Source organism: Homo sapiens, chromosome 10 (assembly GCF_000001405.40).
Source record: "Homo sapiens chromosome 10, GRCh38.p14 Primary Assembly".
NCBI lineage: Eukaryota > Metazoa > Chordata > Mammalia > Primates > Hominidae > Homo > Homo sapiens.
In genome coordinates, this window is record NC_000010.11 from 6,468,784 (window position 1) to 6,493,491 (window position 24,708).

At 43.5% G+C, this 24,708-nt stretch overlaps 1 protein-coding gene and 1 long non-coding RNA gene across 10 annotated transcripts in view, besides 1 other annotated feature; one reads left to right on the forward strand and one right to left on the reverse strand.

Annotated features, from left to right (window-relative positions):
• Positions 1–24,708, reverse strand: part of PRKCQ (protein kinase C theta) — a 186,550-nt gene that overhangs the window by 74,687 nt on the left and 87,155 nt on the right. For all 9 annotated transcript variants that reach the window (NM_001323267.2, XM_005252497.5, NM_001323265.1 and 6 more), the window contains 5 exons: positions 22,900–23,029; positions 17,252–17,361; positions 16,369–16,486; positions 14,657–14,817; positions 10,209–10,382 (listed from right to left, as the gene is read on the reverse strand). In NM_001323267.2, the coding sequence (NP_001310196.1) occupies positions 10,209–10,382; positions 14,657–14,817; positions 16,369–16,486; positions 17,252–17,361; positions 22,900–23,029 (693 nt within the window). The remainder of the gene's footprint in view (positions 1–10,208; positions 10,383–14,656; positions 14,818–16,368; positions 16,487–17,251; positions 17,362–22,899; positions 23,030–24,708) is intronic.
• Positions 5,217–5,396: an enhancer, noted in NCBI's record as "active region_2968". NCBI's record gives its function as "activates an Ori minimal core promoter by ATAC-STARR-seq in GM12878 lymphoblastoid cells {active_cell/tissue: GM12878}" and the evidence as "EXISTENCE:reporter gene assay evidence [ECO:0000049][PMID:35858748]".
• On the forward strand, positions 23,686–24,593 carry LOC107984202 (uncharacterized). Its single transcript, XR_001747350.2, has 2 exons — positions 23,686–23,727; positions 24,276–24,593. It is a non-coding gene; the product is annotated as an uncharacterized LOC107984202 (long non-coding RNA).

Consider the following 24,708-nt stretch of genomic DNA (forward strand, 5'->3'; position numbering starts at 1 on the left):
ATCATATGTTAAGGACACGTAACAAATGTTACAACAGCGAAGACTGTAGTACAACAAGATGAAAACCAGAGATAGAATTCAACTCTTCTTTGGGACATCTCATAGGACAGCCGATGGAAAGAGTTGGGAATTCTGCTCTGAAGAAGAAAGGGGAGCTATCGTTCATATTTAAAATTAAATGAAAGAATTCATATAAAGTATTTAGCCCTGTGCCTGGCATATAGCAAGAACTCCTTATGTATTAACTTTATCACATACATTGTTATTATTTATCACACAGGGAAGAAAAGCATTAAGTTGCATTATAATCAGAAAAAGGACAGCCCCAACCTTTGCAAGATTTGGAGCGAGTGTGCAGAGGGAGGCCCCACACTGTGGGTCCCCAGGTTTAAGTGTTATTAATCAAGCTCACCAACAATTCAATTAAATATGCTCTACATTCCTATATGTTCTGTCTCTTGGGAAATATAACTTCATAATGACCAAGAAGGATCGTGACAAATTCAGGATCCCTCAAAATTCTGCACCAGTTAATTGGCCATATCGGGAAAGTCTCCTCCTGCCCCTTTCAAGGACAGAACCTAGGGAGATGTCTACACAGGCTTGAGGCTGTTTAGGTATGGAATTCCGAGGTCCTGGGGAGTAGTTTAGGAACAGAGACGACCTCTTGGCTTCACAGGAAGGAGTGTGGTTTGAGAAAGGCCAAAGGGAGGATTCTAAGTGAGGGGCTGGGCGGAACCCCTCTTGCTTGGGTCTAAGGTTTAGGACATGGAATGAACAATTTTCCAATTAAATAAGTTGTGAGTTGGATTTGTGTTTAGGTATCTTGAAGTCTCAACTTTACTAATAATTTTGGATTGACCACAGAAAAGAGCACTCTCCTGTGACCAGCTAGGCTTATCTTCTCTGGAGCTCCATTTCCTTTGCTGCAAAATGAGGGGATCTGACTTGATAACCTCTACCACCCCTCCCTACTCTAAAATTCTTGATCCATGGAGTCTGTCATTATAAGGAAAACAAAAGAACATAACAAATCATTAGTTGTCAATGGAATATTACTGAGCAATGAAAAATGAGTTCTCAAGCCACAGAAAGAAAAGAAGAACCCTTAAATGCATATTCTTAAGTGAAAGAAGCCTATCTGAAAAGGCTACAACCTGAATAGTCTCCCTCTTGTCTGGTTTCTCCATCTCTGGCTCAAGCATTTCCCATGATTCTCATCCCTTACACTCTGCAGTCATAATGAGCTTCCATCTTCTGAAAACTCTTTCTGGAAGATTTCTGTATCACCACTGAATCTGCCTATCCACCACTCACTCCTTCACACTGTATTGTCTGTTCCTCCTCCATGACACATTCCACACTCAGTTTTTGATTGTCAACTCTTCACCACATTAAATATATGATCCTTTCTCTCTTGAAATTCTTTCCTCTCCTGTCCTCCGATACTCCTAACTCCTCTGTTCCTCTTCTTACCACCCCAAGGGATCCTCCCTATCACCTTTCCCCCCTGCTCTTCCTCCTACTTTGTAAAAGAGGGCTTTTCTGTGGTTTAGCACTTGAATTTCTGCAGTACGTTGATTCTGACGCTCATATATTCCCACAGTTTCCCCTGAAGAGTCCCATGCGTGTCACCTCCTCAGGATGGGAACTGTAATCACCTCAAATACAACGTAATGTTGGGTCTAATAAGGAAACTCCACTCTGCTCCACTTTAGGAAGAAATCGTTGCTAGGAACAACACATATTAAACTGCTCTATGCTATTTATCAGATATTTCTCTAAGACTGGTGGTGGAGAAGAGGTTCCTGAAGTGACAGAAGTTTTAAGGGGGAGAGACAAGGAGATGGAGAAGAACGATTTTGCCATCAAGGATCAAGGCAGAGGCCAAGCGCGGTGGCTCATGCCTATAATCCCAGCATTTTGGGAGCCTGAGGTGGGTGGATCACTAGAGGTCAGGAGTTCAAGACCAGCCTGGCCAATATGGTGAAATCCCATCTCTACCAAAAATACAAAAATTAGCCAGGCATGGTGGCACACACCTGTAACCCCAGCTACTTGGGAGGCTGAGGCAGGAGAATCACTTGAACCCAGGAGGTGGAGGTTGTATTGAGCCGCCTGGGCAACAGAGTGAGACTGTCGCAAAAAAAAAAAAAAATCAAGGCAGAGACCTGATAGCTACAGTGGGTACAAGATCATGTGAACTCTGGGATGAAGGGGAAAATAATGAAACAGGAGGTCAGAGAGGGGTGGGAAGAGGGTTTGTCAAAGATAGACTTCTCCTCTGCAGTTCTATTCGGGACCAGCCTTCCTGGCACCTGAGTTAGCCAGTATGATCTACAGTCAGACCATTTATCTTTCTTTTTCTCTTCCGCTCCCCCCTGTGCCCAGCCCCTGAACATTATCTAGCACTCTACGGGCAAATGAAACAAAAGAAAAGAGCGAAACATGCATCTTGGTATCAAGGAATGTATTATTTACATAGACAAGGTATTATTTAAACAGAACATATGAAAGAAGTCACAGAAGACACCCAGCAGTACAGGAGCAAAATCATCTTTCTGGGTCACGTAAGCTGAGAAGCCTGAGCGTCTGAATGACAAGTAGGATTTAGTGTATCTGAGCGTGATTTATAGAGTAGGTAGTTTGTCAGCAAGGTTTCAAAGGAGGGAGAGTAGGCTGGGCATGGTGGCTCATGCCTGTGATCCCAGCACTTTGGGAGGCCGAGGTGGGTGGATCACTTGAGGTCAGGAGTTTGAGACCAGCCTGGCCAACATGGTGAAACCCCATCTCTACTAAAATACCAAGAAAAAAAAATTAGCTGGGCGCAGTGGCGCACGCTTGTAATTCCAGCTACTTGGGAGGCTGAGGTAGGAGGATCACTTGAACCCAGGAGATGGAGGTTGCAGTGAGCCGAGATCGTTCCACTGTACTCCAATCTGGGCGACAGAGTGAGACTCCTTCTCAAAACAAACAAACAAACACAACAATGACAACAACAACAACAAAAAACAAAAGAGGGATAGTAGATTCACAGAAGGCATGCACTTTCCTGAGGCACTCTCTTGAAGGAGATGTCAAATGCTCATGTCTTCTGGGAAGCTGGTGACAATACTTTTGGGACTTTGTGAGAATGGCTGACAAAGGAATGGGCAGATAATATGGGCCATGAGCCTGGAAGAATATTACAGAGTCACATCAAGATGAGAACAGATCTGTGAGCTTAAAAAGTGGGCGTGTAGGGGCCGGGCGCGGTGGCTCACGCCCGTAATCCTAGCACTCTGGGAGGCCGAGGTGGGTGTATCACAAGGTCAGGAGATTGAGACTATCCTGGCTAACACGGTGAAACCCCATCTCTACTAAATATACAAAAAATTAGCCAGGCATGGTGGTGGGCGCCTGTAGTCCCAGCTACTTGGGAAGCTGAGGCAGGAGAATGGCGTGAACCCGGGAGGCAGAGCTTGCAGTGAGCCGAGATCGCACCACTGCACTCCAGGCTGGGCGACAGAGCGAGACTCCATCTCAGAAAAAAACAAACAAAAAAAAAGCAGGCATGTAGGAAAGATGCGGCATTTCAGATGCACTGAGTGAGTGTCTTGTTCTTTTAGTCCAAGAATTCCTGAATATGTATTCACTCATTGCCCGTTATTTCCTGTGTATTTGGACGAGAAAACTGTAAGGAAACATTGTGAGTGCAACATTAATTTCCCATAAATTACTGTGTGAAAATAAATAACATTTAAAAGGTGTTAGAATTCCTAAAATGCGTTTTACGCCTTGAGAGAGATGCGACTGTGATCTGAGTCACATATGGTTACAACTTCTGTTTCTCAGATTATAGATTAACTTGCTTCCTTTTTTCTCTTGTTCTGTACAATGACTAGAGAGAATTAAACAATTGTCAGGGACAAACACTTCCTGACTTCTTTTATTCTTTTTTTCTTTTTGAGACGGAGTTTCACTGTTTCGCCCATGCTGGAGTGCAGTGGTGTGGTCTCAGCTCACTGCAACCTCCGCCCCATGGGTTCAAGTGATTATCCTGCCTCAGCCTCCTGAGTAGCTGGGATTATAGGTGCCCACCACCCCGCCTGGCTAATTTTTGTATTTTTAGTGGAGACAGAGTTTCGCCATGTTGGCCAGGCTGGTCTCAAACTCCTGACCCCAAGGTGATCCACCCGCTTCAGCCTCCAAAGTGCTGGGATTACAGGTGTGAGCCACCGTGCCTGGCCGCCTCCTGCCTTTTTAATTAATGAATCTTGTTAAAGATTACCTTTTCCTTTTTTTGTCCTATTTTCCTTAGACCAGATGACAGAAAACCCATGACTATAGCACACTCTGTAAAAGATGTTAAATGTCCCTTTCCCAAAAAGAAACACTGCCTGTAACCAAGTTCCTGGAACTATGCACCAGCCTTGTATGAAAAAATGTAATCCTGCTAAAAATGCCTCTGTCTCTCCCTATGGAAACCCTAAAGTTCCCTCCTTTACAACTCTGACTTCATTCTTTTGGGGTGTTTCCAGGTGGGCCATCCTCAAACTTTGAGTTTGAATAAATGCTCTTTAAATTAGATTCTGGCCTTTTTGATTATTTCAGGTTGACAGCTGTAAATCGACTCATTTTTGTAAATTTGCTATAAAATCTAACATTTGCCAAATCACAGTTTGGTTACATAGCAGGGGAACCTGCAGAATGTCTGAGTGATCCCCAGTTTCTGAAATAACAACGTGTAAGCGTTCTCAGGATCAGAACGCCGCCAGAGGACGTTAAAGAAAAGAGGCTTATCTGTCACTACAGATGGGGGCAGCATGAAAAGTTAATTCTTGTCTTAGTGCAGGGACACGTCTTTGGAAGGATGTGGTTTCCGTGGGTTTTCTTTTCTTTGCTACAATTGTGGTAATTTCCAGGGCTCCTAGCTCAACTGAAAGGTTCATGGATTGCAGCATTTTTGAGAGCTTCAGATGAAGCAGTTTCTGAATAAAATGCTTGAAATTAAAAACTTTCTTAGATGGATTTTGCCTTAAAACTATGGAAATACCAGGATGACATACTTTTTAAAAAGTATCAAGTTCAAGGAGTTTTTCTTTTTAATTTTAAATGATAATAATATCTTGTAGTTAGTATGGTACTTTCTCCAAAAAAGATCCAAACTTCTCTGCAAGTGCTATTATTGTTATTATTATTATTTTTCACGTTATCCTTAGGAAGCAAAAAAGGAGAACCAGTGTCACAAAGAAATGTTAGGTGACTTGTTCAAAGTAACTCACACACTCATGCCCTGAAGCCATAACCGGAAGTAGAGCTTTGTGTGTTCTATGAATAGAAAGTGAAACTCAGTTTTCTTTTTCATAAAAGAAAAATTTCAAAGTGATATTGACCAAGAATGTTCAACTGGTGCATATTGGGAGTGTGGGAGTCAAGGGCAGTGATGTGAATCCAGGAACACTAGCGTTCTGCCTCTTGGCATCACCCTGGGAGGCCTCTCTTCAGAGGCCTGCAAAACCACGGCGGCCTGCCCTCAAATCCAACCTGAGGGAACGACCCAGAGACAGAGCTGTTCCTATAGGATCTAGAGCTACTTAGGTGTGAAATAGTAACACTACTTAAATGTCAGAATACAGATCGGCCTTTCAGAATTCAAAGGAGACACAGAGGAAGGTAGACTTTAGTTCACTTTTAATTTTTAAGGGAAAATTATTTCCTTGAAATTAAAAAGAAATAGCATCCTTACTGTGTTAGATGCATCTTTCCTTTCCAAACAAATTTTAGAAATAAATCCTCTTATTTTTCCACAGTTTTATCAGAGATAGAACACAGAAACTTTGGATACTTGAGTTATTAATCTTTCTTTTACTGCAGCATAACTAAAAAGAGGGAAACTGTTTCAGTGTTTATTTTTCCCTGTGTTTCAAAGTTTTATGGTTAATTATTTTTTTCTAATTGTTTTAAATCTACTTGTAAGTGGATAGTTAAAAGATTTATGACAACTCTTCTTGTAGACAAATTTTATTGTGGATTTTCCTATTTTTTTACTTTTTAAAATGTAAGTAATGGAAACTGTTAAAAATCTAAGTTGGAAATCTAGTAGTGCAAAAGTTGGCTGGCATCCGCACTGAAGGGGGTACTGAGAAGGGATCGTGCAATTTCAAGCCCTGCAGACTTTGTAAGACAGAAAATGTAAATATTAACAACAAAGAAATGTTAGAAAAAAAGTAAAAGAAAGAAGAGCTAGCCCTTCTTTCCTCTTGCCAAGACAGCAGCCTCTCAGAATGCTGATCTACGTTAGACCCTGAGCCAGTAATTTATGCCAGAGCCTGGATGATGTACAAAGTCATTTTGATCTAGCACACAGAAAATTCATTGTGAAGATTCTTTTGATTTGAGCCTCATTCAGATTCAGGTTCAGATTTCATGAATTATCCTGTACATCTATGTCCCCAGACGGTGCCGTCCCATTAGGGCCCCTGGTTTTACAGCTCCCAGCCCCTCTGCCTGTAACTCTTACTCTCTGTCCTGGGCAGGGGTAAAGTGGGTGCCTCAGAGCCCTGTTGATAAACGGCAGAGCTGGGCTTGAACTTCGGAATCCAAGTCCACAGGAATTTTCACATTTTGTAGCTTCCTAAATGGCTTTATCATATTTTCACCCTTCCATAGGTGATATATCCCTCATCTAGGAACTTTAAAAACTTTAACAATTTAATCCAAATGACCCTAATTAATAACAAGTGAATACCTGTCCTCAGAATCTCCTGAATAATCTGGTATTCAACAGGTGCGCTCTTTGGAGGCAGAGAGCAGATGAATAACTTCCTTTAAAAAATAACAATGCCCTGGAGAAGTACATAGTTAATTTATCTTATCTGATGTCTACACTAGCATACACAGGTAACTGTCCTCCCAAGAAAGGTCATTCCCAACATGTTCCCAGAACAAAGCATTATCCATATCACGTATCAATCGTTGCCTTTTGCATTCACTTGTGGTATTTAATCAGTTACTTTGACAAGCAAGGTTTGAATAATTAAGACATCTCAAAAACAACAACTCGGGGTGTTGGAAAAGGTGATTCAAGCTTCTTCCTTTGTTTCTTTCCTCTTTCTAAAAGGACTCAGTTCCTTGAGATCTGAGTCTTGAGCCAGTCAGATTTACATTTCATGTAAACATTCTCTGCTGAAGTTTTTTTTTCTCTCCCAGCACCAATGCTGTGGATGCACTTGTGGCTCAGGTCTTGGTAAAGCATCCCAGCTGCACGGAACTCATTTATGCCTAGTGTTCCATTATTGGAACGCTAAGCATGTGGGAGTTATTTATATCCTACTGCTCAAGGTCATCACCAAGGTCTGATTTCAAAATTCAAAAAGTTGCAACCTCAGGCATAAATGGGTTAAGGAGATCTCTCATAAGAGGGACAGAAACAAATGCTGCCTGAAGCTGTGATGGACAGGCAAGAGAAAGGAGCATACCTATCTTCTACAAAGTGGGATTCCCAATAGCCTTCCCCGTAAGACATGAAAACTGTCATACATGCAAATCAAAAAAAAAAAAAAAAATGGGGAAAAGGCACCAAGAGAAGCACAACTGCCTAAGTGCCCAGAAGCCCAGTCTAAAATGTGTTTATAGTAACATACACAGAAAGATATAATAAAAATAAAATCAGTTATAATCCTACCTCCCAATTAACAACTGTTAGTTTTTCATTATTTTTCATGCTTATACATGCAAATGTTCTTGCTTAAAAGGAAATACTATATATTCTCACTTATGATTTCATAAACAACATTCTGTATTGATGTTTAAGCATTTACATCATCATTTAAAATGGTTATATAGTATTATTTTCTCTGACCATATAATAATTTATTCAATAAATCTGTCATTGGGTATTTGTGTTGTTTCCAATTTTTCGCTACTATGAAAGCTTTACAGTAAAAATCTTTATTTATGGCAAAAAAGAAAAAATGTGTTTAGCAGTTTGCTACAAGCCTCAAAATACTGCAAAGGGAAAAGATTACAGGGAGCCCCAGCATGTGCAGAAAATCTAGACAACAGTACGGAGAGGGTGGCAGAGTTTGTCTCCTTGCCTGCAGGTGACATACCTTCACCCTCCCAACAGCATGGAGAGGGTGGCAGAGTTTGTCCCTTTGCCTGCAGGTGACATACCTTCACCCTCCCAGGCCAATGGGTATTTATCATCTCCAGGAGGGAGTTTCTAGTACAAAATCTCTTCTAGCCTTCATCATGGGAAGTTCCAGCCTGCTCCCTGCAGCAGGAAGCGGGCCTGCATTCTCCTAAATAGTTGACCAGGACACCTCACTCTTTTCTACTTCCTCTCCTGCAGCCACACCTTTCATGCCCAAGGCCCTTTCTGCCCATTCAAATTCCTCTTTCTAGTTTCTCTCAGCTCTGGTACTTTGTGTCTGCCTTCTGATCTAATATTACTCATACTGTTAGAAATGCAGCCTTGACTCTTATTAGAGTGTGAAGTTCTCAAGGTCGGGAGCTGTATTATATACTTCTGTATCCTCCACAGTGCTTTGAGCACAGCATATGCTCAGTAAGTGCTTTGCCATGGTCTGGCTTCTCTTTATCTTAGGTAAGTGCATTTATTCATTGATTTGGTTATTGCACATATGCTGAGAATCTACTGGGAACTGCAGAGGTGGTGATGGATGCCCCAGTTGCCATCCACTTTCCTCATTCATTCCCTGGTTCCCTCATTAATTCTTCCCATGGCTCAAGTCTCCTTAGAAGTTTTCCCTCATTCACTCTCCAGTCGTCATGGCTTGAGATAGAAAATGGGAAAAGGGCTGGGTGCGTTGGCTCACGCCTGTAATCCTAGCACTTTGGGAGGCTGAGGGGGGTGGATCACCTGAGGTCAGGAGTTTGAGACCAGCCTGGCCAACATGGTGAAACCCTGTCTCTACTAAAAATACAAAAATTAGCTGAGTGTGGTGGTGCACACCTGTAATCCCAGCTACTCAGGAGGCTGAGGCAGGAGAATCACTTGAACCCGGGAGGCGGAGGTTGCAGTGAGCTGAGATCACACCATTGCACTCCAGCCTGGGCGACAGAGTGAGACTCCGTCTCAAAACAAACAAACAAAACAAACAAACAAAAAGAAAGAAAACAGAAAATGGAAAAGCCTCCGCCCCTTGTGTTCTTTGGCCCTTAGTCATATGGTCCCACTTGAGGCTGCTAATTAGTGCGGGTGGTGGACAGCCGGGATGGGGTGGCAGAGAGGAGACAAACCAGTAAGAAGAATCATAATGCATGTGCATGAAAACTAATCTTCGAGGATGTTCATTTTAGTGTTATTTAAATCAGAACAAAAAATTAGAGATGTTCTAGTTAAATCACGTTGTAGAATATCCAAAGACGTAAGAAAATGTTCAAAATAGAGTGTAACAAATGCAGAGTACAGTGCAGTAGGTATTTACAGTGGGTTGCTATTTTTGTTTTTAGAAGTCCACTGCAGAGAGAATCTATAGAAGGAGAAACTTCAAAGTATTAATGGCGAGTATATCTTAAGTGGTGGGATTATAAGTGATTTTCTTCTTTGAGTTTATAAAAATTTTCTACAATGATCCTGAATAATTTTGAGTCAGGAAAGAAAAGGATAATTTTTGTTTTTTTAAGGAAAAAGGAGACCAGGATGCAAGTCCTCCCAGAACGGCACAGCCTTCTGGCAAATTCAGCATAAGGAAAGGGTCCCAACACCGAGTGGGAATGCAGACGCATCCAACCTCCACCTCCCAGCTCAGGGGCTTGCTCACTGATGAGCCCACTCCAAGGCTGCTTTTTCTGCCAGCCTTGAAGAGAAAAATAATAGTGTACGTGCGTTTTGATCTATTTTCCAACTTTTATCTCTTCCAGTACATGCAGGGTAGATGAACAAACACTTGTTACATTTTCCCCTAAGTCACGGACTGCTGAGAAGCCTGGTTGTTATGCTAAATGAAACCAAATTCTAAAAAACAGGAAAACAGACAAACAAATCTAGAAGTAAAGATCTTTCCCAATTGATGACACTAAAACATTCTAAGTAATACTTCCATGGTGTGTAGAAGGGATGTTTGGATGGATGGCAGGTACACCGAAATGTAAGATAAATATGGAGGCAATGACTCGTGTCTCCTAATGAGGGCGCCATTGAAGGTATCATGCTGAGACAGGTTAGAGGGGAGGTAGGGTTGTCGGAGCAGAAGCCATACCTTGGTCTGGAATGTACAAAACATGTGCGTCAGAAACGGATGCTCCCAGGCCAAGGAAAGAACTCTCTTCTCTACCATCGTGCACTCAACATCATCGTCCATCAAGACCACATCTTTCTTTAAGGCCTTTATTGCGAAAAATTGATTGGTTTTCTTGAATTCTGCCAGGAAGACCTAGAAGGAGAGGGAAGAAGTAACTTTATTTTAGAATTTGGATTCCCATTTCTTAAAAAAGAGACAGAGTCCTGAGAGACACCTGTGTTGGGTGGGAAAAGGGGTTCCTTCTCCAACCCCCATCCATCCTGCATAGGCCATTCCTGAGACAAAATGGAGCACTTCTCTGGTTTCGGACATGACATCACTATTTCATACTATCTTTGTACTCTTTCCAAGGGTTCACAAAATTATTAAGCAATTGAATGGATTTTTAAAAGTGTGCCCTGCCTGCTCAGGGATCTGAGTGAAGGTACAATAAAAATCCAGAGAGATAAAGTGCACAGTGAAGAAAGAAGAGTTGAGTGTGGAGAGGAGAAACTGTACTCGAAACATCACTGCAAGTGCACATAAATCCTAGCTTTACGTTTTACCCAGTTTTTCCAGGCCAAAAGAAGAATGGAGGGATATAGTTCTCCTTGTGTACTTAAAAAATAAACACCGGCCAGGTGCGGTGGCTCAAGCCTATAATCCCAGCACTTTGGGAGGTCAAGGCAGGCAGATCATCTGAGGTTAGGAGTTCGAGACCAGCCTGGCCAACATGGTGAAACCCCGTCTCGACTAAAAAAAAAAAAAAAAAAAAAAAAAAAATCCAAAAATTAGCCGGGCATGGTGGTGGGTGCCTGTAGTCCCAGCTACTCGGGAGGCTGAGGTGGGGAATTGCTTGAACCTGGGAGGCGGAGGTTGTGGTGAACTGAGATCATGCCACTGCACTCCAGCCTGGGCGTCAGAGTGAGACTGTGTCTCAAAATAAAAAAAAATAAATAAGTAAACACCATTTTCTCTGACAACACAGCAATGAATTATTCATAGCAGAATGTATGGCATGTAGTAGGTCCTAAAATGTGACTGACACTGGGTTCAAAGGATAACTTGCTCAGATTCTTCGAGCTACTAGGGAAAGATTTAACTCCGAAGTTTACTTTCCCACTTGATTTCGTGGCTCTCGTATCAAAGGACACCAAAATGGGAATGAAACATTTTAGGACCTACTGTGTGTCATACACTCTGCTACCTACTTTACACTTACGACCTAATTGTATTATCTAATTTAATTCTTAGCTCATCACACTCTGCAAGACAGAAGTTAACAACATCAACAACAAACACTGAGTTCAAAGAATAACTTGCTCAGATTCTTGGAGCTATGAGGGAAGATTTAACTCCAAAATCTACTTTTCCCACTTGATTTTGTGGCTCTTATATCAAAGGACACCAGATGGCATATGATGGAGGGTTTCAACAATTTTAGTTTTTGCAAATGATGCAGCAACACACTGTTGGCAATGGTAAGGGCATGGCATTTGGATACAGAAAATTCTAGCTCTAGTTTTATTTCACAGACATTTATTAGCTGTGGAAATGTGGGCAGATGAATTAGCCCCTCTGGGCTTCAGTTTCCAATTACTACTGCATTCTCTAACTTACAGGACTGTTGTGAAAGTCAGGTAAGATGAGACCTGGGAAAGTAGACTCTAAAATGATCTCTGAATCACAGTTGCTAAAATTCAGTCATTTGTCATTTGTTTCTGTTATTGACTTTTGGGAAAGGCCGAAGTCAATGATGTGACAACAGCCCTGAACATGTAAGTGTCTAGGTTTAAAAGCGACGGAGCAGGTTCGTAGCTTGATGGTAGCTGACTTGATAGAAGGGAAGGGATGAAACTTAGATGGGAATTCAGGCAAATGAATGATGCTCACATCCCCAGAGAACACACAATTTGTTTTCTTAGGCTTAAAATTTGTTTGAGAACAAGGGTATAGAGGTCTTGGTGAGGAAACATACTTTCCACATAAAGCCAGAAGAGAGAGAAAAGACAAGTTTTGGAGTATTCTCAGTGTTGTGAGAAAGAGAAACAGCCATCCTGTCTTGCTTTGATATCTCCCCCTCCTCTCCTCTCCGTGTATAGGGACCCAGGGTCCTGATGAAAAGAAGTAGACAGCTTTGGACATGGAGTGGGGGAAACCTGGGGCTCCCAGCTGCACCTTGGGATACCGACTAAGGCTTGTAGGTTTAACTTAATGTCTTCCTTATTAACCTTATTCAAATGTGGAAATCCACATGGGAACAAAGAAAGATAAACATTTCATTAACAATTAAAAGTCCTCTTTTAGTAATTGCTTCTTTCAGTAAAACACCCTAAAACCAGCCATAAACTAAGAAGCCAAAAAGACAATTTCCATCTATATAATGTGCTTTCAATTTTTGGTAACAGGTTATAATTGCACATTAATTGCTGCTAAATTACAATGAAGACTGGCTGTAACATTGCCTATTATGCTCAGATTAGCACCAAATGAGCCTACTGTGGTTCATATTATTGTGGAACTGAACAAAAAGAATTCCTGAATATCAGCTACCATGTGCTGGACAGAGTCGATTCTGCTGAAAGGCAAGGCATCAGTGTTTAAATCCAAACCCCAAATGGAGCTCAATATTATTCAGCTGTGGTGACCGCTCAGTTGCATTTTAGTTTGTTTAATATTAAATAAACTGGGTAAGACATCCTGCCAAAGTCTGGTGAGCAGTTGTGGTGTATAATGCTGCCTTTGGCTGCACAGATTCATAGAACAGTCATCTCTGATTAAAATTTTCCTGGGAGTCCCATCCAAGAATGTAAAACAAATAGGAGCCCCGTTAATACATGAGATACCCTTAATATCAAAAATTACCTAAAAGCCTATATTCCATATCATCCCTCCTTAAATCACCAGCTTGAAAATTTTCTGCAGTCACCGGTAGTTGGTTATAATTTCTTAAATTATCTCTTCTTCCTTCTTCTCACCTCCCCTTTTTTTTTTTTTTGCTCCTCCTCTCCCTCTTTCCTTCCTCTCCTTGTCATCTGTGAGTGATGGAGACAACCCCCCACCTGCATGTATGGCAGGAAGAATTTAGAGGAGGGACTTTCTCCACAATTTTTTTCCAGGACTCTCAAGCTACAGTTTTCTTATGGGCTGAATTGTGTCTATACTGAAGTTCCAATCCCCAGGACCTTGGAAAGTGACTGTATTTGGAGACAGGACCTTCAAAGAGGTAATTAAGGTTAGATGAGGTTATTAAGGCAGGTCCTAATCCAATATGACTGGTGTTTTCACAAGAAGAGAAAATTTAAGCAGAGTGTGGTGGCACAACTGTAATCCCAGCTACTAGGGAGCTGAGACAGGAGGATCACTTGGGTTCGGGAGGTCAAGACCAGCCTGGGCAACACAGTGAGACGTCATCTCAAAAAAGGAGAACACTTGGATGCAGACATGCACAGGAGGAAGATGATATGAAGGCATGGAGAGAGGGCGACCATTGCAAAGCATGGAGAGGGGCCTGGGAAGAAACAACCCAGACAACACCTTGATGGTGAACTTCCATCCTCCAGACCTGCGAGAACATGAATTTCTGCTGTTTAAGCCAGCCAGTATGTGAGATTTTGTTATAGCAGCCTGTATTAGTCTGTTATCACACTGCTAATAAAGACATGCCCGAGACTGGATAATTTATAAAGGAAAGAGGTTTAATGGACTCGGTTCCACACAGCTGGGGAGGCCTCGCAATCATGGTGGAAGACAAAGGAAGAGCAAAGGGACGTCTTACGTGGTGGCAGGTGAGAGGGCATGTGTAGGGAAACTCCTCTTTATAAAATCATCAGATCTCATGAGACTTACTCACTATCATGGGAACAGCACAGAAAAACCCATCCCCATGATTCAATCACCTTCCACTGGGTCCCTCCCATGACACCTGGGGATTATTACAATTCAACGTGAGATTTGGGTGGGGACACAGAGCCGAGCCCTATCACACCCCAAGGAAACTTATACAAGCTGGAAGATATTTAATAGAGAGAGAAAAAAATCACATGCAAACTAAAACAACACTCCAGGCTTGAGAATGAAGCAAAAGAAGAGAAAACAAAATGAAACAAACACAAACACCGTGTGAAACAGGAAGTGGCTGAGGCACCTTCCTATTTCTTTGGTGCCCAAAGACATCAAACTCATAGGCGTGTGAGATGTACACTCTCCAAGCAAAGTAGCTTTGGAGACACAGGTTTCCAGAAAGCTGAGGCTACTATGGGCCTAGAGCCCTCGGGGTCCCTATTTATTCAGCGCTCCCTCAGGAAAGCTGTCTCTGACACTCACATGCAATCCTAGTGGCCCTATGAGTTTAATTTCTTTGACCAGGAACTTGGCTCATCAGTTCCTGGAGTTGGGCCATAGCATTCTCCCGTGCATTAGCTTACCTTGCCAAAACTTCCTTTCCCCAACATTTTGTGCAAGATAAAATCCTCAATTTTTAGTTTAATCTGCAGAGATGGTCTTTCTTTGTTCAGTTCAGGTTCTGGAAGATGGCACATTTTATCCACCTCATCCAACGGAGACTCCCAGGAAATGCCCTGAGGCTCTGAAAATGCAAGCTGGTGGTTAAAAATGAACATGGAGTAATGGAGGTCATTCTAGTTACTGAGAGCACATGCTTTCTCTTCTACTTCCCATGCTGAGGCTCCATCATAGTAATTGGGGGTGTTTAGAGGGTTTCCTACAGTTCAGGCAGCTTTAATACCTTTCCATCTGTCTGTGAGGGCAGCACCCCCTGTCTGTGAGCCTGGCATTTGGATTTTGGAGTGTGGACTATGTCTCTTTCTTCAATAGACTGGGAAATAGTTCAACTTAAGAAACAAATTCCAATCAGTAAAAGACCATATATGCAAAATACACAAGCACTGTTAATAATGCCACATCAAGGACATCTAGGGATTTTAACCAAATTTTAGGAAAAAAATGATTTTCAATTGTTTGCATGGCTCACAAACACAGTGGCATCAATTTCTACAATTTACAGCGTGAGAGAGACAGGAAATGAAATCTAGCAGATTTTTAAAGATCTGAACTGCATCATTCATCCCAGAATTCAAGTCAAGATGCTGCCTACGTTGGCCGGGTATGGTGGCTCACACATGTAATCTGACAACTTCGGGAGGCCGAGGTGGGCGGATTGCCTGAGCTCAGGCATTTGAGGCCAGCCTGGGCGACATGGTGAAGCCCCATCTCTACTAAAATACAAAGAATTCGCTGGGTGCGGTTGTGTGCGCAAGTAGTCCCAGGTACTCGGGAAGCTGAGGCAGGAGAATCCCTTGAACCCACAGGGCAGAGGTTACAGTGAGCTGAGATTGTGCCACTGCATTGTAGCCTGGGCCACAGAGCAAGACTCTGTCTTCAAAAAAGAAAAAAAAAAGATGCTGCCTATGTTGATCATTGCTAAGACATAGTCTCCTTGACTGCCTGGCAACCCCTCCTAAATGTAACCCAAACCTTTCATTTACATTTTTAAGTTGATTTGAAGTCAGAGAAAACATAAGAGAAATTTTTAGGAATTTCCCCCTGCCTACAATAGTCTCTATATTTTTAAATCCCTAGGTTTATCTTTCATACTCTTCCAAGGACACTAAGTATTTTAGAATGTATGCTGAAACGACTCAGGTCTCAGAAACATGGGTCATATCCACTCATGAACTGCTTTCAAACAGTAGGCTGGAAAAACTGCCATAATGTCATGAAAGTGGCTTTGAGTCCTTCTCTTTCCTACCCTTAAATTTAAGTCTCAAAGGTGCAGAGTAAGAATGTCTTCTGTGGCCTTCCCACCATCAAATTTTAAGACAGATTTATTTCTGTGAAACCATTTGACACTGACAGAATGTAACATGCTGAAACTCTAAGAAAACATTTGTGGTTGTTCCCTCCAGACCTATCCCATTTTCTAACCCCCACCTCCTGCCTTTTACAAAGGTAAAAGGTTTTAGTTTCTTTTCTAAGAAGTGGGAGCCTCTTAGTTGGTAGCTGGAGGTGGATCACCTATCAGACCAGGTAAGCTGATAACTTAAATCCAAGGGCATTAGGTTAGGGTTAATTGAGATTAATGACTGACAGTGATTAGACTGCTGATCAGGACAGCTACCTCTTTTTCCCGGTGTCGGTAAACATGGCGGCCTTGCTTCATTTTTGATGGAGCATGGGAGACCAATTTCAACCGGACCTTCTCTGAAGATCTGTTCAGTATCTCTTAAGCAGCGAGCCTGGATGACAAACAGAGAGTCAGACCACCCACCCACCCACCATTGATGGAACAGCTCAGCCTGCTAACGATGGGGACAAAGGCCATTTAAAATGTTTAAATGCATAGGGTCAACAAAGATCTCCTTATCCTCAACGTTCTTTTGGAACCCCATATTCTGGGAGAGTCTATCTACTGTATTTTATGCATTAGCCGAACACGTTTGCCTCCTTCACACTTTTCTGGGGCTGACAGGATTCTCTCATGCTGTCTACATCATTCCATCACAAATAAGGACAGGTAGTTAATGGATGGGAAAACAGCTGATACAGGCAATGCCAAGTCTTAAAGAGGGTTTATCCTTGGATCTAGGAATTCAGCTAATGCCAAAACAGTAAACAGCAGGCCAAATTTGCCCTGGACTCGGTGTTCCATGAGGATGATGCTAGCACATAAGTGTTTTCCCCCAGGCTATTCTATAACCCGAATATATTCACATAAAGCTGTCAATGAATCTTCAATAACTTTAATGAATTTATTTGTTTCTGCAATGCTCATGCCATGAAGAATTTAAGATTTTATAAAGATCTGCATAATACAAATGCATTAAATAAATATCTCAAAGATAGGGGGTGTGGGCATGGATATGAAAGCCAAGGGCAAGGCCGGTGCTCAGAAATACATCCCGGCATTTCCCATAGGGCTGCCACAGGTGAAGCAGCAGAAGTGCATGGACATCCTTGCTGAGCGGCCATGGCGGGAACGTGTCCACGGCACATGCTCCTACCTGTTGAGTGCTCTCAATCATGGCCAGCGCTTCAGCCATTAGCTTCTGGTTTATGCCACAAAGGTTGGCCACCTTTGTCTGGCATCTATGATGCACATTCATGCCACATGCTGGAAGGAAGAAGGCAGATAGTGAGCAAGAGTGGAAGAACCCCCTGGTGCTAAACAACTCTCTCTGGAGGTAAGACAGAGCCTTGCGGATAGGGAGGAAAGCCTAAAGTGCCACGGCTGGGAGGAAGTTGACCCTGGCTCTCCCTGGTAGTGATCCTCGTGCTGGAAGGGAAGTGAGGTAGGAGGTGGGACTCAACTCTGGAGGTGGGGTTCAGACGCCAGACCAAATTGAAGACTAGCTAAAACAGGGACAGGGCAGAAGCAGCTTTCCAGAAGATGCCCACCTGCGTGCCATGTCAGTTTAGTGTTGCCATGGCAACACCCAGACGTTACCACCCTTTTTCCAGGAACTTAATTTGCATGTAGTTAAAAGTGGTATAAATAGGATTGCAGCACTGCCCTGAGCTGCTACTCTCTGCCTCTGGGGTAGCCCTGCTCTGCAGGAGCAGTCATGGAGCTGTAACACCAACAGAACTGTAATACCGTTGGCCAATGAAGCTGTTTTCTTCTACCAACAGCCGACCCTTGAATTCTTCCTGGGCGAAGCCAAGAACTCTCCTGGGCTAAGCCCCACTTTGGGGCTCACCTGCCCTGCATCAGAAGAATATTCCTGCCCACTCCAGTCTGGGTCCAAAACATCCCCTTTCCCACCTGGGCCATGAAGAGCTTCCCCCAGCCTTTAGGTTGAAGCCCAGGAGGCAGCCTCAGCCTGCAGATGGATATCAGACGGTGGAGCCGGAGTGTATATGTGGGAAGGGATGGAGTAGGAGGAGGCTAGCAATGCCAGGAGAGGTCACGGCAGAACACACCTAGCAAGACTGGACCAGGCATGAGGACCTCAGCTTTGAAAAAAAAATCACAAACTCTACACACGGTGTGGAAACATAAAGCCACAGGCTTCACCAGTGTGGGCTTAGATGAGGAGGCCAACAGCAACCGGGTGTTTGAGCACATTCCCCAGTTTCCAGGCCCCTGTACCCATGCCTCCTGAAAACCTCGTGTGATTATGGGAAGGGTAGAGGGCCCCAAGGATTACTAGATGAGAATGTTAACTAAGTGGATCTCACAGTCATAAAGAAAGTGATATTTCTTGCACGCATGAACTGATGGCGTAAATTGACATCTACAACCTGTTATGAAAGGTAACTCGAAGAAAAAGAACCAAAGTTTTCTGTCATCTTTATAAGTCACATAAGATGTTAAAGAAAAAGAAAGAGGAGAGGGAAATACTCGAGCACCTGTCAGGTGGGTGGAGAACGGGGTGCTGGTGGCAGCTTGCACAGCGTGGACACTGTGTGACCTTGGGCAAGTCATGAACGCTCTGGGGGCTCCCGATTAAGGATCTCCAGCACTGGACTCATGATCTATACAGGATTCTAGCTTGGGGATCCTACAATTCAGGGTGAGTATTCTGATTCATGAATCTTGAAAACAGTAGCATAGAATCTAACTTCCATTGCCAGTGACCAAGAGATCCCTCTTGGACTGGAGAGCGTGTGCCCATGTGACTGTGTAAAGACAATTATTAGTTTTAGAAATTCAAATTTTGCTAATGAAACATCACCATTAAAGGCCAGGCGTGGTGGCTCACACCTGTAATCCCAGCACTTTGGGAGGCCGAGGCGGGCAGATCACCTGAGGTCAGGAGTTTGAGAGCAGCCTGGCCAACATGGTGAAACCTCATCTCTACTAAAAATAATAACAATAAAAATTAGCCAGGTGTGGTGGTGCACATCTGTAATCCCAGCTACTCAGGAGGCTGAGGCAGAAGAATCACTTCAACTTGGGAGGCGGAGGTTGCAGTGAGCTGAGATCGTGCCACTGTACTCCAGCCTGGGAGACAGAGCGAGACTGTGTCTCAAAAAAAAAAAAAAAAAGAAACATCACCATTAAAATACAGAAAAATCAGATATAAAGATTTCCAAACTCCAGCTGACAGAGTCTGTGAGTAGAGAGTGTTGTAATAGAAGCAGGCACCAGGTGCTATGACATCATGCAGTCTTAATCTTATCTGCTGATTTGCACATGTGTGTGCAAAGAAGCTTAGCACAATGACTGGCATCGAGCAGGCGCTCAACAAATACAACTTCCTTTTCATCTTCATCATTTATTGCATAGATGTAGATATTAAAATATTTAGGTGAAATTTGGGCAACCCTCACCTGTAGTTTTCACTGGTCCACTCTTCTTCAAATAGCTCAATAATAAAATAAAGCAGAATTTTCTATGTAAATAACTATTACTTTTTTTTTTTTTTTTGACATGGAGTCTCGCTGTGTCACCCAGGCTGGAGTGCAGTGGCACGATTTTGGCTCACTGCAACCTCGGCCTCCCGGATTCAAGAGATTCTCCTGCCTCAGCCTCCTGAGTAGCTGGGATTACAGGCGCCCATCACCACACCCAGCTAATTTTTGTTTTTAGTAGAGACAGGGTTTCGCCATGTTGGCCAGGCTGGTCTCCAACTTCTGACCTCAAGTGATCTGCCCACCTCGGTCTCCTAAAGTGCTGAGATTACAGGTGTGAGCCACCGCGCCCGGTCAACTATTAACCATTACTAGACCGAGTATATAGGCATAGATATAGCCAGAAAAATTCACCTGAAGCAAAATCTTTTCTGCATATTTAAAATCTTTGTTGTTGTGTTGTTGTTCTTGAGACAGGGTCTTGCTCTGTTGCCCAGGCTGGAGTGCAGTGGTGCAATCATAGCTCACTGCAGCCTCAAACCCCTGGGTTCAAGCCATCCTCTTGCCTCAGCCTCTTGTGTAGCTGAGACCACAGGCGTGCACACCACTACACCCGACTAATTTTTTTATTTTTCGTAGAGATGGGGGTCTCACTTTGTTGCCCAGGCTGGTCTCAAACTCCTGGGCTCAAGCCATCCTTCCGCATTGCCCTCCCAAAGTGCTGGGATTACAGGTCTGTTACCGTGCCCGGCCTAAAATCTTTACTATAGAAAGGATTTTTTTTTTTCATGATTGTGCTCCAAATTCCACATTGTCGGCAAAACTCGCATAACTCACATTCGCCCTATTTAGAAGGTGTCAGGTTTCAACTTCGGTAGCCCCAGCTCCATTTTCTTATGCATCACCGTGACACCAAGTGAGGTTGTCAGCTAGGATTGAACATAGAGGGATGGAGTTTTACTTTGCTCCTTAAAACTGTAGCCACATCTAGGCTTCTCTGTGACTTGCATGGCCGCGAAGAAAGGCCACCACCATCTCCACGAGAAGGTCCTAAGTCTTTGTTACTAACCTATCAGGCCGTAACTCAGTTTCTTGGAGGGCAAAGAGTCCCTTTGGATGACTATTTTCTTGGGAATTATTGTGGGGAGAAAGAGAAGGCAGGGTAAAAGGCTAAGGAGGCCCTACTTAAGACGACGGCCTGCAAGGAGGCAGGATGAAAGGGAGGCAGAGAGGGAGGGAAGAGAGCTGGAGAAGAGGGCGAGAAGAGTCGAGAAAGGAGGACGCGGGGGCATGCGGGGTGAGCGGAGCAGGCGGGGTGAGCACAGTGGAGGGGCAGGGACCCGGGAGTGTCAGAAGCAAGAATGGAAAACAAACCAGGGCAGGGGAGGGAGAGGAGAGGGGACAAAAGAAAAAGGGGAGGGGAGCACTTGAAATGTAGGTGGTAGGAGAGAGCGGGGAACAGAATGGAGCGGAAAGGAAAGAGTATTCAAGGAAAGAAATGAAACGAAGCAGGCAGAAGAGCCATGAAATAACGCCCAGGAACCCCTGGGAAGTTCTAAGCTGTGCCGCGGCGCTGCTGGGACCAGCTCTTCTTGCAAGTGGATTCTCGGGCTCCCAGGACAGAGAACCCGACCTGAGACCATCACAGGAGAACCAAGAGGCGAGAATTTCTCCTGTTTCTGTGGATACCGTCAGGATGCAGGATGCCGGGACACTACGTTTTGTCTCTGACCTCCTAATGAACTCTTAATACCCTGCCTATCCATGTCTTCTTGAACAGGGGTGTAGAGAAAAGCGTGTCAGTGTCCTTTGGGGCCAGGAACGGATTCTTGAGGCTAATGTTGGCCTCCTGTGATGTCTGCTTTAGGTAATGATTTGAAAACCTAACCCCTCCTGCCTCCACTGAGAGGTCGCTCTGGGTTCCACCAGACATGTGAACAGGATTGGGATGAAGAAGGGGAGAATGCGGAAGATGCTGTGCCGCCTTCCATCACGTACCTCATTGCTCAAAAGAGAGGACATACATTAGTCAGTAGCACTGATCAAAATAGGGCTGCCAAGAAAAAATAAAGTGGCTTATATATTTAATACTTCATCATAAGAAAAGGTCTGTGCTCACCAGGCATGGTGACTCACTCCTGTAATCCTAGCACTTTTGGAGGCTGAGGAGACAAGATCGCTTGAACCCAGGAGTTTGAGACCAGCCTGGGCAACATAGCAAGACCATACCTCTAAAAAAAAAAAAAAACAAAGAAAAACAAAAAAAACAAAAACAGGCATGGTAGCACATGCCCATGGTCCCAGCTACTTGAGAGGCTGAGGTGGGAGGATTGCTTGAGTCCAAGAAGTCAAGTCTGCAGTGAGCTGTGATCGAGCCACTGCACACCAGTCTCCAGTCTGGGCAACAAAGTGAGACCCTGTCTCAGAAAAAAAGTAAAAGAAGAAGAAAAAAATCAGAAGCTGTCTGTATGCAACAGGTGGTTCTCCTTTTGTGGCTCTATTCTCTGGGCTCTGCCCACGTCTCTCCCCAACCAGAAAGCAGAGTGCCTTGTCAGTTCTTGAGGGTTTTTTTTTTTCTTCCCTAGTCCTTAATCCTAGTGTAACAGCATCTCAGCTTCTAAACGTTATCGCCTTAGCAACTTGGAGTTGTACAGCAAGAAAGCCTTGCCTTGTTTCCTTTTTTGATGGTAGGTCTGAGAAACTCCATCAATAATGAATGGCAGGTTAGGCTCTGCTGCGATCCTGGCCTTGGAGGAAAGACCAGAAAACAGGCAATGACGGTCACAACCGGGCCAGCCTCTTACTGGGCACTTGGAGTTCACAGCAATGGTTTAGGGATGGATGCTCAAGCTAATGTTACAGAATTTCTGTGCAGGACCATGTGTCAGCCAAATGAATGTGCTGGGCTTGCTCCTTGATGAGATGACAGAAAGAATCTTACTGGCTGGTGCAAAGGAGAAGGGTTAGGGTACCACACAGCTAGACCTGTTGGGATTAGGAAGGGGCAGCCCAGAGCCCACTGAGGAAACTAGTAGTAGAAAGACCAGTGAGAGGAGAAACACTGTCTTCATTTCCCCCAGGGCTATGGTACGGCAGAAGGTGATGGAGCTAGGAGTTTGACCTTGAACCTGAACTGTTGTGCTCTTTTCTGGGATGTGTGGGTGGGGGTGTTGCAGGGTGCAAGGAAAGGAACATAGTGGCTTATTGCCCCAGAAGACCATACTTATGATCATGACTTGTCTGGGCTGGGTGTGGAAGTGGTACCCCCTACATCCTCCCTCCAGTTCCCCAGAAAGCCTTGCTCCATCCCCTAGGGGGTCCACGTCGGGCCATGCTCATCCCCCACTGGACTCACCATCACACTTGAGTCCTTGCCGTGCCAGTCCCCACAGCAGGGTCCCACAGTGTTCACAGAAGGTCGGGCTCTTGTAATTGTAGACTTTAAATCTGTGTGGCATGTCAATTTTGAATCTCTCCTTGTGGAACTGAAAGAAAGGCAGAAGGTGAAATCTGTGTATTCCTGGGGCCCCGACTTTGGATGTTCTTGCAGATACCTTAGCATAACTAACAGAGATCATAATGAAAACACTGGCATTGTGTGCATTTTAAACCATCATTGTCACTTGTCAAGCCCTACAGTCATGCCTGAAGAAGGCAGGCAGCCTCAGCAACTGTACGTGACGGGGCATGCTTGCCTTCTGCATGTAGCAAGAACCTTGCAGACAGCTGAAATCTGAGGCATTCACACAGACAGGCTAAAAGCTCAGGAAGACTGCATGAGGGTTATTTTAAAAAGTGCTAAGGAAACAGTGCTCCCATTTAAATAGATGAAGATTCCCTTCCTGTTTTACTATAAATATTTCCTTTTCTCTTTCAGTCCAGAACTAGTGCTTTTAACCTTTGGAAGATGTAAAAAAAAAAAAAAAAAATGCCTTCTTTAAAGGAAACATTTCTATGGGTTTATCAGTATTACTGCCTAATGTGAGAAGCATTTTCACACCTATTATTCATGAACTGAGGTGGCAAGAGGAGGGAGCAGTTCCTGCCAGGTGCGGTTAACAAATATGTCACACGCATCATCTATTACATAGGTGATATCTCACGTAATCCTCAGAATACCCCTTTTGAAGTCGCTTCTATTAGTATCCTCCTTTGACAGACGAGGAAATGAAGCACAGAGAAGGTAAGAAACTTGCCCAGGACACGCAGCTCTAGAGCTGGGATATCTATAAGCTTGGCAGTCAGAATCAGAGCCCAGCCATTCTCTTTTCTGTCTCAAAATAAATGTGAAGGCTTATCGGGGTAGGGAGAGGGGAGTGGGAGAGGGATGCTAGTGATCGACATGGAATTTTTTTAAAAAACAGTTTTCCAGAGTTTAAATCAAACTTATTGCAGGAACAACAAAACACTTGGATAGTTGGATTCCTGGTAAGAATGTGAATATTCTTGTGCAGGATAAAATGCTTTATTTTCTAAAGGTTTATAATCTCTGCAGAAGTTTCTAATTCAACAGTTCCTTTGGGAAGGTGCATAGCAAAGATGCCTTATTCATCAGCACAGCAATAGATCTAACGTTCCCGCCAGGGGTACTGGTCAGCGTTGGTTCTTTAGAAAGCCTGTGTAGAATCGATTAAAAATTGCTCAGCACTTACTACAGCCATTTTCAACCAAGAAAAAAATAATTTTCGGGACTCACTTATATTCCACAGTTTAAATATGGACAATTAATAGGTCAAGGTCCAGGCTGGAAGGGGACCACTTCGAATCTTGAATGCAGGGGCAAACAGCTCAAGACACCATGGCTGATGAAGACGCTATGTACACGCTTTCCAGTATGAAAACCAATGAGCTACATGGGGCTGGCGAACACTTGAAAGGTGGTGAGTTAGAGTTGAGATGTGCTGGACGTGTAAAATAATACATCCTGGAGTTTGAAGACTTTTGTATAAAATTACTTAAGATATCTGAATTTTTCAAATGTCGATTTTTTGTTGAAATGATATTTGAACAGATTGGATTAAATAAAATGTATTATTAAAATTAATTTCACCCATTGCTTTTTCCTTTATTTAATGTGGGCTACTTGGAAATGTAAAATTACACATGTAGCCCTCATTCTATTTATTTCTATCGGACAATACTGCTCCAGGGGTAGAGGAACAAA